Here is a 14,640-nt window from a genome sequence, read left to right as displayed (position 1 = left end):
AAGGTGGATGGATCACTTGAGGCCAGGAGTTTAGACCAGCCTGGCCACATGGCAAAACCCTGTCTCTACTAAAAATGCAAAATTAGCCAGGCATGGTGGCGCATGCCTATAATCCCAGCTACTCGGGAGGCTGAGGCAGGAGAATCGCAAGTATGAAGGGGCTGGCCACCCCATCCACATTCGAGCCAGAAATGGGGAGGGGAGGGAAGGGGAGGGACCAGCATTTCCTTCTAAGTCCAGGACTCATTTTTTGTGCACATCACTTCATCTTGCATCCTGTTGGCTAGAACCTAGTCACCTAGCGACATCTAGCTACACTTTTTTATTTTAGGCAAGCTTGAACCCGGTGGGTGGAGATTGCAGTGAGCCGAGATCACACCAGTGCACACCAGCCTGGGCAACAGAGTGAGACTCTCAAAAAAGGAAGGAAGGGAGGAAGGAAATAATAATGCACACAATGACCTTGCCATCATAAGTTTATTTTTTGTAGAATAAAGAAGTCAGTATTTATTCGGTGATCTGAAGTGTTTGATAAACAAACTGTTCAGATATCATTAACTTTCTGCAGGTCAGAAGTGCACATTCCTGCTGTCTCAGTACAATTTGGTGTCATCCTTGAAGCATACTGCCGGGGAAGTGTGGGGCACATGAAAGTGCTTTCTAAGCAGGTATCAGCTTGTTTTATTTATTCATTTTTTCTTTTTTTGACAGACAACGTTTAAAGCATGAATATCAGCTTGTTTTAATCTTCATGTTCAATTTGGTACTTGGTGTTTGATCAGTTTTATCAAATGCCATTTCTCCCACCACATTATTTCATAGAAGTCTCAGTAACAGACAACCTGATGAATACATTCTTTTGTCAAAATTTAAGTCAAAAAATGAAGTTTCAATGAACTTAGCACAAAAATATTAACTGAATGCTACCTGAAAAATAATTACTCGGCATTCCTAATATATTCTATATTAATCCCAAAGTGCTAAGAAATGCAGATGTGAACCACCACACCCAGCCCCACCCTTTTTTTTTTTTTTTTTTTTTGTGACAGAGTCTCGCTCTGTTGCCCAGGCTGGAGTGCAATGGCACTATCTTGGCTCACTGCGACCTCCGCCTCCCGGGTTCAAGCGATTCTCCTGCCTCAGCCTCCCGAGTAGCTGGGACTACAGGCATGCGCCACCATGCCCAGCTAATATTTTGTATTTTTAGTAGAGACAGGGTTTCACTGTGTTGGCCAAGCTGGTCTTGAACTCCTGACCTCGTGATCCGCCCGCCTCGGCCTCCCAAAGTGCTGGGATTACATGTGTGAGCCACCGTACCTGGCTGCCCCACCCTATTTTTATATCAGATTCCTAATTTCCAGTTAAACTACTCTTTTCTAATTCATTTGCATTGCCAGAAGAACTCTCATAGGCTTCCATTAGGTGTTTTTAATATTTAGGATTTTTCATGATGTTAAAAACTTTTTCTGATCCCTTACTTTTGAAAAGCCCATTAATGATTGTAATAATAGCTAATGTTTATTCATCACTTATTATGGGTCATTTATTCTTAACAACAACATGGAATCAATATTATTAATCCTCTGAATTTTATAGAACCCTGAAATATATCTCACATCTCTGCCTATTTCCCTTGTGTTCATGGCTACCATCCTAGTCCAAGCTACTATTCTTTTTCACTGGACTTCTTCATTAACTATCTAAATTGTACCCCGTGTTTCCCTTCCTACATCTCCCCCAACATTCTATACACAGAAGATAAAGTGACATTTTAAAAATGTAGACTGTGGCCAGATGCAGTGGCTCACACCTGAAAACCCAGCACTTTGAAAGGCTAAGGTGGGAGGATCACTTAAGCCCAGAAGTTTGAGACTAACCTGCACAACATAGTGAGACCCATCTCTAGAAAAAATTAGAAGGTGGCTTGCAACTGTAGTCCCAGCTACTTGAGAGGCCGAGGTGGGAGGATTGCTTGAGCCCAGGAATTTGAGGTTGCAGTGAGCTATGATTTGATTGTACCACTACACCCTAGCCTGGGCAACAGAGCAAGACCCTGTCTCAAAAAAAGAAGTAGATTGTATTACATCATTTCCCTTTTAAAATCCCTTCAATAATTTTTCATTGCACTATGAGTAAAATTCAAATTTTCTGCCAAAGCCTGTTAGGCCATACTTAGTCATAACTTGCTTATTGTCATCATATAACCATTTTCCACACTGCATATTTTCTGGGAGCCTCAGCTTGATGTTAAAGACAATAAAAGGATGATATATGTATGAACAAATTATTCTAACTCCTGTTTTTTTTTTTTTTTGATTGATGAATTGTGAGAGGAAGACTTTACCCTGTACATAGCTGTTCTTGTTATTACTATAAACTTACAAAAGGACAAGGTGTTGAAACACTTAAAGTATTAGACTTATGTCCATGGGGTATTCAGGACACTGTTCCAGGAAGTGTGGATATCAACACAATTAGAGATGGAGCATGAAAACTTTCAACTGTACAGACATGGAAGAAGTTTCAAATTTCACATACTTGTAAAAAGTTCCTGTTTGCTTAGCCCAGTTTTTATCTGGTTGCCTTGTCACCAGTGTTTGTACAGCTCCTGAAACTGTTGAGAAGTAGAGTGATCTGTGGTTTTAACAGATGGCTAACTTGGTAAGTTTCAGCCATCTCAATTTTATCATCAAGCTGCATAGGTCCTTCCTAGTTTCCTGTGAGCAAGGTCTCAGCCTCTGTGGAAACTGCATGCTTGAATTCATCTCCCTACATAGTCTTAGTGGTTTCCTTGCATAGAAGCAGAATTTAAAAATGAAAACATGTTATAAATTAAATCTCTTGTTCATGGAATTTCAAGCCACATTGTTTATATTTGTGATAGACATATTTTATATGCTTGTTACGGTATACTTTTTAATTCTATTTTTAACATTTGTTTTTTCCAGTTTTAATGATATACTTGTAAAATAAGCTGCTCCTTCTTTATGCGTGGCTGAAGTTGTTATGAATTTTATGTACTGTGACATAAAAGACCCTCAGTTATTAAATAATAAAGTTGAATTTTATTTGTTGTTATTATTTATTTATTTATTTTATTTTTTGTGATGGAGTCTCACTCTGTCACCCAGGCTGGAGTACAGTGGCATGATCTTGGCTCACTACAACCTCTGCCTTCCAGATTCAAGTGATTCTCCTGCCTCAGCCTCCCTAGTAGCTGTGATTACAGGTGTGCGCCACCACGCTTGGCTAATTTTTGTATTTTTAGTAGAGAGGAGGTTTCACCATATTGGCCAGGCTGGTCTTGAACTCCTGACCTCAAGTGATCCGCCCACTTCAGCTTCCCAAAATACTGGGATTACAGGCATGAGCCACTGCACCTGACCCTGATTTATTTATTTTTTGAGACATAGTCTCACTGTGTTGCCCAGGCTGGAGAGTGTAGTGGTACGATCTTGGCTCACTGCAGCCTCCAGCTCCCAGGTTCCAGTGATTCTCCTGCCTCAGCCTCCTGAGTAGCTGGGATTACAGGTGCACACCACCGTGTCTGGCTAATTTTTGTATTTTTAGTAGATAGGGGGTTTCTCCATGTTGGCCAGGCTGGTCTTGAACTCCTGGCCTCAACTCATCCACTTGCCTCAGTTTCCCAAAGTGCTGGGATTACAGACGTGAGCCATCACACCCAGCCTAAAGTTGAATTTTAAACATAATGGTTTTGATTTAGTTGGCCATTGTTGATACACCTTGTACTACTTGCATAAGTTTTTTTTTTTACTTGCATAAGTTTTGATAGCCATAGTTATTATAAAAACAAGTAATTTAGATTTGAATAACAAATAGCATGTCTATATTCACACTTTATTATAAAATAATTCGTTCTAGCTATGCTGTTAATGGAAATAGAATATATTGAGATATCATACAAGAGTGATGACAAGAAGTAGATATTAAGGTTGAATAGCAAGAACCTCAGAGTTACTTCTACATAGGTTTTTCTCTAATACTAGGAAGTTGGCCAAATGGACTGGTTTAGGTTAGTGATGTCTCAAATTCTACTATACAATGAATTGCAGAATTTTGAGTAGTTTAAGTTTCATATTTATCTTCTTTCTTTCTTTCTTTTTTTTTTTTTTTTTTTTTTTTTTTGAGACAGTTTCTCACTCTCTTACCCAGGCTGGAGTGCTGCAGTGGCTTAATCTTGGCTCACTGCAACCTCCACCTCCAAGGTTAAAGCGATTCTTATGCCTCAGCCTCCCAAGTAGCTGGGATTACAGGCAAGTGCCACCATGCCCAGCAAATTTTTGTATTTCTTTTTGTAGAGATAGGGTTTCGCCATGTTGCCCAGGCTAGTCTCAAACTCCTGACCTCAAGTGATCCAGCTGCCTCAGCCTCCCAAAGTGCTGGGCCACATTTATCTTCTTAAGTACCCATAGTGCGCACCTGGCCCACATTTATCTTAAGTACCCATAATCTAAGTCTGCTTTTCTCGAATTTGTAAGATTTTGTTTAAGAAAAGGTTTAAAGAAAGTTTGAAAATGATGCTATAACAACTGTTAAAAATAAGTTTATTGTATGTAAAATGCTTTTCGTAAGTCAGACACTATTTTTACTTCAGCTGGTTATGTGTGTTTATGGTTATGTGTATATGTTGGGAGCAGGTGTTATTGATTGATATGATCACATGATATTATATTACTTTTAGTCAAATGAATTTTTGGTGTGGGGAACTTATTTTTCAGGTTGAAGCACTCAATAAGTTAAAAACTTTAAATAGTTTAATCAAACTGAATGCCGTGAAGTTAAACAGAGCCAAAGGGAAGGAGGCCATGCATACCTGTTTAAAACAGAGTGCTTACCGGGAAGCCCTCTCTGACCTGCAGTCACCCCTGAACCCATGTGTTATCCTCTCAGAACTCTAGTAAGTGACTGTGCTTTGCGCAGTGAATCTCCTATGAATAGCAAGCAGAAAGTCACTGCCTTATGGGAGTAGTAGGGCCAGCTGTCAGCCTCAGGAAGTAGAATATAATTAAGGAAGGAAAATCTTAAAAGTTCTCCGAGGCTATGCTTATATTCAATAGGATGTATGCTTATCAGCTAAACTTACCAGTGGATTTAGTGAAAGTTATTACAAATGAATTTATATTTCAATTATATGTAATTAAATTTATTTTCTATATTACTGATTTTTAAGAGTTGACAATCCTAATAAGCAAAATGTTGCAAACTGTAGTAAATTATTTACTGATTGATTTTCCTATTTTAAAATAAGATCTTGTCTTGAGTGAATTTGGCAACTTATTTCTCACTTTCTCATTCCCTACAAAAGTAATAATGGAAAATAATAGTCTGTATTCAGTATATTATCAGTATTCAAATGAATCCCTTGTTAAGAAATCAAGAATGGTCTCAAAATAGTTCTAATTTTAATCCAATGATTTGTTCTAATTTTTTATTCACTAAATGTAATAATGTAAAGTTAAGCAAATAAAAGGAAACGAGAGAAGGAATGTTAAGTGGAGAAGGTGAGAAGGGCCAATCTTAGGTTTTGAGTCCAGCCTATCTGGCATTAGTATATGCCACCCAAGGCTGTCCTCATGGTTGCTTTTCTACCAAGTGGGACTCTTCTAAGTCTGACTCTTCTGCAGACCTGACAGGAATAGGTGAGGAGTTTTCCCAAGCCTAGTATATAGTGGTAAAATTATAATCTTCTGTATCATTACACTGAAGTTGACTAATTTTCCCCACTTGATTTCAGTGTTGAAAAGTGCAAATACATGGATTCCAAAATGAAGCCTTTGTGGCTGGTATACAATAACAAGGTATTTGGTGAGGATTCAGTTGGAGTGATTTTTAAAAATGGTGATGGTAAGTACTGAGATTTTTAACATCAAATTTCTTAGAATTTTTCATTTGTTGCCATTTTGCTTTATCTGAAAGGTGATGTGTAGTGTAAGTGTGTAACAATTTGCAGCCAGGAAGGTAGCTATTAATGGTCCTAAAGTCAAGTTGAACATGTCCTAAATGCTTTTTTTTTCCCCCTCTTATAAAATGATTTATACCATTCACTTAAATATACTGTCCTAATGAACCTTCTTTTATTTCCCCCTACAAAATACAAAACGCGCCTACTCCTTTGATTAAAAAGCTTATGAAATACAAGATATTATTTTTACTTTTTTTTTTTTTTTTTTGAGACAGGGTCTCACTGTCACCCAGCCTGGAGTGCAATGGCACGATCTTGGCTCACTGAAACCTCCACCTCCCAGGCCCAAGTGATCATCCTACCTCAGCCCCCAGAGTAGCTGGAACTACAGGCACACACCACCACACCTGGTTCACTTTTTGTATTTTTTGTAAAGATGGGGTTTCACCATGTTGACCAGGGTGGTATTGAACTCCTGAGCTCAAGTGATTTACCCACCCCGGCCTTTCAAAGTGCTGGGATTACAAGCATGAGCCACCGTGCCCAGGCAAGGATATTTTCAGTAATATATTCATACATCTTGTTTCAGTGATAGCAATATTGATTTTGCTGCCATAGTTTTGTATTTTGATGAAAGTACCTAACAGACCCAAAATGTGTAAAGGAAATGCCTCTGAAGTAATCATACCAGCCAATAGGCAGTGGTGACTTGTTAGTTATGTGACTACAAACAAGGCACAGAAAACTGATTGAGCTTCAGGTTTTTCATATCCTTGAGAATTATAGCATCTGTATGTCAGGGTTATTAAAAGGAATTGAGATAACATAAGCAAATGTGCTTATCAGAATATGTGCTTACAACTTAAAAAGAACTCATAGGGTTTTGCTAAACATTTAATGTCACTTGACCATACAAATGTCATTATGTGGATGTCACTAGTTTCATGTGCTCTCTTCCCTGAAAATACCCTTAGACATGATAATAAATTGAACCATTACAGTTTTGTGACCTCGTGATGCAGTTACTTACGTGATTCTTAAGAACTCTCCGTATAGTGGTAAAAGCAAGCAAGAAGGAAAAAATTAACCATGTAATTAATGTAATACACATACAGTGTAATACAAACAGTATTACAGCATACAATTAGTACCCCTGAACCCATGTGTTATCCTCTCGGACCTCTAGTAAGTGACTGTGCTTTGCGCAGTGAATCTCCTGTGAATAGCAAGCAGAAAGTCACTGCCTTATGGGAGTAGTAGGGCCAGCTGTCAGCCTCGGGAGGTAGAATATAATCAAGGAAGGAAAATCTTAAAAGTTCTCCGAAGCTATGCTTATATTCAATAGGATGTAACTTACACATGGCAAACAATTTAAAAAATCTTTTAATTTAATGTCTGAAATAATGTCACAGGGACATGCTATCCAAAGAGTGTAATATTTGTTATAAAATTAGTGAAAATATTAGCACAGAGTTTGTTAATGTTTTTAGTTAATTCTGAGTTAGTCTTGAATTAATGAGTTACAGGGCATAAAAGGAAAAGCACTTGTAATGAAGCAGTTTGTTTTCCCTTAGATTTACGACAGGATATGTTGACACTCCAAATGTTGCGCTTGATGGATTTACTCTGGAAAGAAGCTGGTTTGGATCTTCGGTGAGATCTAGTCTTTTTTTTTTTTTCAGTCTAATGTCTTCCCATAGCAAAAATATCTAGAATTTCTTGTTAATTCCTTCCCTCTTGTTCTTATTTTTAGTTGTTGTTCATAATAATATTTATATAGCACTTTAGAATGTACTTTCAAATATGTTGTCTTGCCTAAACTTTTTCAGTTTAAAACTACACATGTTACTGAAATTCCAGAAAGAAGGAATAGGTTTGAACTTTAATAAGGTTTGGACAGACAGCCAGAATTACATTCCAACCTATGGTGTTGAAAGATGTACTGTGGGTCATGGCAATGACAAGGCCAGAGAAAGTCCTGTGCCTTTTTATACTTAGTCCAGGGACATTGATTTCTCTACCTACCAAGGGAAAAGAGAGGAAAATGTTTAGGTGCATTCTCAGGTTTTTAGTTTGCCACCATCAATAGGGGTAGATAGTGAGCGGAAGAGGTTTGTGGTGTCGTGACAGAAAAAAGGAAACATAAAATCAAGCCTCAGACTGGGAATCGTATTCACAATGAACAGAACAAGGGGTAAATATTTAAAGAGCCCATAGAAGTGAACATAAGGAAAAGATGTGAAAAGGCATTTTATAAAAAGTATAAAAACAAACTAATAGGCATGTTGGCACACACCTGTAATCCCAGCACTTTGGGAGACCAAAGCGGGCAGATCACTTGAGGTCAGGAGTTTGAGACCAGCCTGGCCCACATGGTGAAACCCTGTCTCTTCTAAAAATACAAAAGTTAGCCAGGCGTGGAGCACATGCCCGTACTCCCAGCTACTCTGGTGGCTGAGGCATGAGAATCGCTTAAACCCGGGAAGTGGAGGTTGCAGGGAACAGAGATTGCACCACTACACTCCAGGCTGGATGACAAAGTGAGACTCTGTCTCAAAAAAAAAAAACAAAAAAAAAACTAACATGAAAATTGTCAGTTCCAATTAAGAAGTACAGATTATAAGAACAATTGGGCCGTGCATGGTGGCTCACTCCTGTAATCCTAGCCCTTTGGGAGGCCGAGGCAGGTGGATTGCCTGAGGTCCCGAGTTCACGACCAGCCTGGCCAACATGGTGAAACCCAGCTCTACTAAAAATACAAAAAATTAGTAGGTTGTGGTGGCAGGAGCCTGTAATCCCAGCTACTCGGGAGGCTGAGGCAGGAGAATTGCTTGAACCTGAGAGGCGGAAGTTGCGGTGAGCGAGATCATGCCACTGCATTCCAGTCAGGGCAACAAGAGCGAAACTTTGTCTCAAAAAATTAAAAAAAAAAAAGAACAACTGGATATCCTAACAAAGATTTTCTTAAATGATAATCCAGTCTAGGGTGCTATTGAAGCAACAAAAACACAGGTATTTTTATATACTATTATAAATTAATATAAACCTTAATGTATGAAGTTAATTTATACTCTTTATATCCAGTATTTCCACAATTTACTTTAAAATTGGAATTGTAGACAGAGATTTATACACAAAGATATAGTCCAGTTCATCAGTGTTTTCAAATTTATTACCACATATTTTTTTATAACATCCTCTTGTAATTTTAAAATCTGTGCTATGCTGTGTCTAATATTTTTCTTCTTCCTCTTTTTTTTTTTTGAGACAGTCTCGCTCTGTCACCCAGGCTGGAGTGCAGTGGTGCGATCTCGGCTCACTGCAGCCTCCGCCTCCTGAGTTCAAGTGATTCTCCTGCCTCAGCCTCGCGAGTAGCTGGGATTACAGGCACCCACCACCACGCCCGGCTAATTTTTGTATTTTTAGTAGAGATGGGATTTCGCCATGTTTGTCAGGCTGGTCTCAAACTCCTGACCTTGTGATCTGCCTGCCTTGGGCTCCCAAAGTGCTGGAATTACAGGCGTGAGTCGCCGCCCCCTGTCTTTTCTTCTTTTTATATGCAGTTATTGTCAGTTATTATTAGAGATTTGCTTCCTTATTAGTATGGTTTCAGCTGGGCTTCTAATTTTGTTGATTTTTTTGTTTCCTACTTTATCAGTTATTACTTTTTTTTTTTTTTTTTTACTTTTGTGTTTATTCTGTTCTCATTTTTTAAAATGAACTCTTGGCTGGGTGCAGTGGCTTACGCCTGTAATCCCAGCACTTTGGGAAGCCAAGGTGGATCACTTTCGCTCAGGAGTTTGAGACCAGCCTGGGCAACATGGTGAAACCCTGTCTCTACAATAATAATAATAATAATAATAATAATAATTAGCCAGGCATGTTGGCATGTGCCTATAGTCCCAGCTACTTGGGAGCTGAGGAGGGAGGATTTCTTGAGCCCAGGAGGTCAAGGCTGCAGTGAGCCAAGATCACGCTACTGCACTTCAGCTTGTGTGACAAAGTGAGACCCTAATCTCAAAAAAGAAAAAAAAAGAACTCTTAACTTTTAAAATGGAAATATTTATGTACTTTCATAATATATCAAACAGTATATAAATTCTAAATATTTCATAATTTCTATTTTTATCTTATTGACTCCTGAACTATTTAAAATTACAGCTGGATACAGTGGCTCTTGCTTGTAATCCTAATATTTTGGAAGGCCAAGGTGAGAGGATCGCTTGAACCCGGGAGTTCAAGACTATCCTGGGCAACAGAGCAAGACCCTAGCTCAGTAAATAAATAGATAAATAAATAAATAAAATTTAATTTCCAAAGGCATACTTTTTTGTTCTCTTTATGATTTCTAATTTTATTGTGTTGTTATTGTATCAAGTATATGTTCAGATCTATATTCTCATTAAACTTCAGTTTTGATTTGTCACTTCGTAGGTATGTTACAAGCTCCTATTATAATTGACATTTGTCATTGCCTGCCTGAAATCTTATCAGTTTTTGTTTATCTTGATCTTATATTTGTTTTTTCTTTTTTTGTTTGTTTGTTTGTTTTTTGAGTCAGAGTCTTACTCTGTCACCCAGGCTGGAGTGTAGTGGCAGGATCTCAGCTCACTGCAATCTCTGCCTCCTGGGTTCAAGCAATTCTCATACCTCAGCCTCCCGAGTAGCTGGGATTACAGGCACGGGTCACCAGGCTTGGTTAATTTTTGTATTTTTAGTAGAGACGAGGTTTCACCATGTTGGCCAGGCTGGTCTCGAACTACTGGCCTCAAGCATTGATCTTATATTTGTAAATCTATACAAGGTTTGATTTCTTTTAGCTTCTGTGCCCTCCTTTATCATTAAGAAATATGCCTCTTAATCCCTAGTAATTTTGTTTTAGTCTGTTTTGTCCAAAATTGACATTTGTATACCAGCTTATTTTGGTTAGTATTTACCTTTGTATCTTTTATTTTTAACTTTTATTTCATTTTATATTATATTTGTCTCCTGTAAATAGCATATAGTTGAATTTTTTTGTGAGGATGGATTTACTCCAATATGAATGTATTTTATTAGGAAATTTTAATTGTTTATTGTGATTACTATATACTTATTTATTTCTACTATCTTATTGTATGTTTTATATTTACATCCTTGTTTTTGTCCTTTTTCTCATTTATTTCCTTTTATTGGATTGATAGGGGTTTTAAATTTTCATTTTCCCTTTCTATAAAATACTTTTTAAATTCTTACTTATTAAAAAAATTTTTTTTAGAGATAGAGTCTCACTGTTACCCACGCTTGAGTGCACTGGCATGATCATAGCTCACTGCTGCCACAAACTCCTTGGTAACACAATCCTAGCTCACTGCAGCCACAAACTCCTGGGTAGCAGAATCATAGCTCACTACAGTCACAAACTCCTGGGTACCAGCAATCCTCTCACCTCAGCTTCTTGAGTAGCTAGGACTACAGGCACATGCCACCATGCCTGTAATCCCAAGCACTTTGGGATTTAAAATTTTTTTTGAGAGACAGAGTCTCACTATGTTGCTCTCTCTGGTCTCAAACTCCTGGCCTCAAGCGATCCTCCCACCTCAGTCTTACAAGTATCTGGGATTACAGACATATGCCACCATACCCAGCTCTTATATAGAATCTTTATATACTATATTATTTATTTTAGGGAATATTCTTAAGTTTTTAAACTGCATATTTGATTTAACAAGTTTTTTTTGTTTGAAACGGGAGTTTCCCTCTTGTTGCCCAGGCCAGAGTGCAATGGCACGATCTCAGCTCACTGCAACCTCCGCCTCCCAGGTTCAAGTGATTCTCCTGCCTCAGCCTCCCGAGTAGCTGGGATTATAGGAATGTGCCACCATGCCTGGCTAATTTTGTAGTTTTAGTAAGACGGGGTTTCTCCATGTTGGTCAGGCTGGTCTTGAACTCCCGACTTCAGGTGATCCGCCCGCCTTGGCCTCCCAAAGTATTGGGATTACAGGCATGAGTCACCGCGCCCAGCCAGATTTAACAAATTCCAAAATTAATCCATAACTTAGCCCTCTTCTTGATCATTATAGGTACTTTAGGATAAATTCTACCACTTATATTTTAACTAATATTTAACAACTCCTTATATTATTCGTTACAGTGAATTTTTACTAGAATTTCTTGTATACAATTTTAAATATTTCTTCATTCACCATTGCTTTTTGTACCATACTCCCTCACTCCGGGTTTTGTCTGAAAATGAATTTATATTACCCTCAATCTTGAGTAAGGCTGGGCACGGTGGCTCACGCCTGTAACCCAGCACTTTGAGAGGCCAAGGTGGGTGGATCACCTGAGATCAGTAGTTCAAGACCAGCCTGACAAACATGGTGATACCCCGTCTCTACTAAAAATACAAAATTAGTGAGGCATGGTGGCACATCCCTGTAATCCCAGCTACTGGGGAGGCTGAGGCAGGAGAATCTCTTGAACCCAGGAAGGGGAGGTTGCAGTGAGCGGAGATGGCACCATTGCATACTCCAGCCTGGGCAACAAGAGCGAAGCTCCATCTCAAAAAAAAAAAAAAAATCTTGCATAATAGTTTAGCTGGGTATGGAGTTTTTGTTTACTATTATTGGGATACAGTATAATTGTCATATCACAATTCACTGGTTTAGAGTGTACATTTCAGTGGTTATATGCATTTTCTGAGTTGTGCAACCATCACTACAATTAATTTTACAACATTTTTATCAACCCTTCAAAAACCCTGCACTCCTTAGCTGTTACCCCCAACCCCCTCCCTGAAACCACTCCAATTCTAGGCAACCACTAATTAATGGTCTATAGATGTACCTTTTTTGGACATTTTATATAAATGGAAACACAATATGGGGCCTTTGTCACTGGCTTCTTTCTCTAAGCGTAATGGCTTCAAAGTGTATTCATGTTTTAACAGTAACCAGTATTTCATTTCATTGTCAAACAATATTCTTTTGCAAGGATGTGCCACATTTTATTTATCCATACATCAGTTAATGAATATTTTGGTTGGTTTCACTATTTTGCTATTACAATAACTGCTATAAAACTATACATAGATAAATGTACACAGTTAATGCTATAAACATTTGTGTACAACTTTTGAGTCAATCTGTGTTTTAAATTCTTTTGGTAAATACCTAGGATTAAAATTACTGGAACTGATGTTAACTTTATGTTCAACTTTTTGAGAAACTATCAAACTGTTTCCCACACAGCTGCATCATTTTACATTCCAACCAGCAATGTACAAAGGTTCCAATTTCTCTTCATTCTCACCAACACTTGTTATTGTCCATCTTTTTTTATTATAGCCACCCTAGTAGGTTTGAGGTGTTATCTCATTGTGGATTTAATTTGCATTTTCCCAATGACTAATGTTGTTGAGCAGCTTTTCATGTGCTTGTTGGTTATTTCTATACCTTTTTTGGTGAAATGTCCATTTAGATCCTCTGCTCATTTGTAAATTGGGTTATTTGTCTTTTTATTGTTAAGTTATAAGAATTCTTTATATATTTTATATACTAGACCCTTCTTAGATAAATTATTTGCAAATATGTTTTTCTGGTTGTTTGTTCACTTTAATTTTTAAATAGTGTGTGTGGTAGGAATCCAACTTTATTCTTTTCCATTTAGATGTATAGTTGTCTCAGCACCATTTGTTGAAAAGATTATTCTTTCTTCATTGAATTATCTTGGCATCTATGTCAAAAATCAATTGATTGTACATGTGAAGGTTTTTTCCTGAACTCTAAGTTCAATTCTATATGTCTGTCCCTATGTATAGTTTTGATTACTGTAAATTAATAATAAGTTTTGAAACCAGGAAGAATGAATCCTCCAACCTTTGTTCTTTCTCTCTTTTCATTTATCTGGGATTGTGTTAATTTTTCCTTTGTTTCTGAATAAGAATTTTGCTACTTGATAGGTTTTCTTTCAGCATGTCTAATATGTCATCCCACTTTCTTCTGGCTTCCCTGGTTTCTCATGAGAAATCAGCTGTTAATCTTATTTAAGATCCTTGTAAGTGATGAGTCACATCTCTCTTGTTCCTTTCAAGATTCTCTTTATTTTTGGTTCTTGACAGTTCGATTATAATATGCCTACTTCTATTAGAGTTTATTCTACTTTGAATTAATTGAGCATCCTGGACATATATATTATTGTTTTTCATAAAATTTGGGGAGTTTCCAGCCATAATTTTTTCATATATTTTTTCTGCCTCTCTCTCTCATCTCCTTCTTAAACGCCATTATGCATTTATTGCTTTGCTTGGTGGTGTTCTACAGGTCTCTAAGGCTCTGTTCTTTTTTCTTCATTATTTTTTCTTTTGTTTCTCTGATTGGATAATTGACCTATCCACAAGTTTGCCAATTTTTTATTATGCTCATATCTGCTGTTGTGTCTACCTGGTGAATTTTAAAATTTCAGTTATTGCCCTTTTCAACTCTGGAATTTCTGTTTGATTCATTTAAATAATATCTATCTATTGATAGTCTTCCTTTGTTGATACATCATTCTCACAGTTGTTTTGTTTTGTTTTGTTTTGAGATAGGGTCTTGTGCTGTCGCCCAGGCTGGAGTGCAGTGGCGCGGTCTCGGCTCACTGACACCTCCACCTCCCAGGTTCAAACGATTCTCCACCTCAGCCTCCCAAGTAGCTGGGATAATGACAAGCGGCCACTACAACTCCTGGCTAATTTT

The 14,640-nt window shown here is 37.8% G+C and overlaps 1 protein-coding gene across 14 annotated transcripts in view; it reads left to right on the top strand.

The window, feature by feature from the left end:
- PIK3CB (phosphatidylinositol-4,5-bisphosphate 3-kinase catalytic subunit beta) overlaps positions 1-14,640 on the top strand; it is a 182,231-nt gene that overhangs the window by 145,386 nt on the left and 22,205 nt on the right. For 13 of the 14 annotated variants that reach the window (NM_001437290.1, NM_001437286.1, NM_001437289.1 and 10 more), the window contains 4 exons: positions 569-668; positions 4,740-4,918; positions 5,756-5,865; positions 7,498-7,576. In NM_001437290.1, the coding sequence (NP_001424219.1) occupies positions 569-668; positions 4,740-4,918; positions 5,756-5,865; positions 7,498-7,576 (468 nt within the window). Of the gene's footprint in view, positions 1-568; positions 669-4,739; positions 4,919-5,755; positions 5,866-7,497; positions 7,577-14,640 lie in introns of those variants that run through there. The other variant, XM_047448315.1, reaches the window with a different exon arrangement.

This window comes from Homo sapiens, chromosome 3 (assembly GCF_000001405.40).
Source record: "Homo sapiens chromosome 3, GRCh38.p14 Primary Assembly".
NCBI classification, from domain to species: domain Eukaryota; kingdom Metazoa; phylum Chordata; class Mammalia; order Primates; family Hominidae; genus Homo; species Homo sapiens.
The sequence above is the reverse complement of the archived record's forward strand: the minus strand, read 5'-3'. Positions and strand labels throughout refer to the sequence as shown.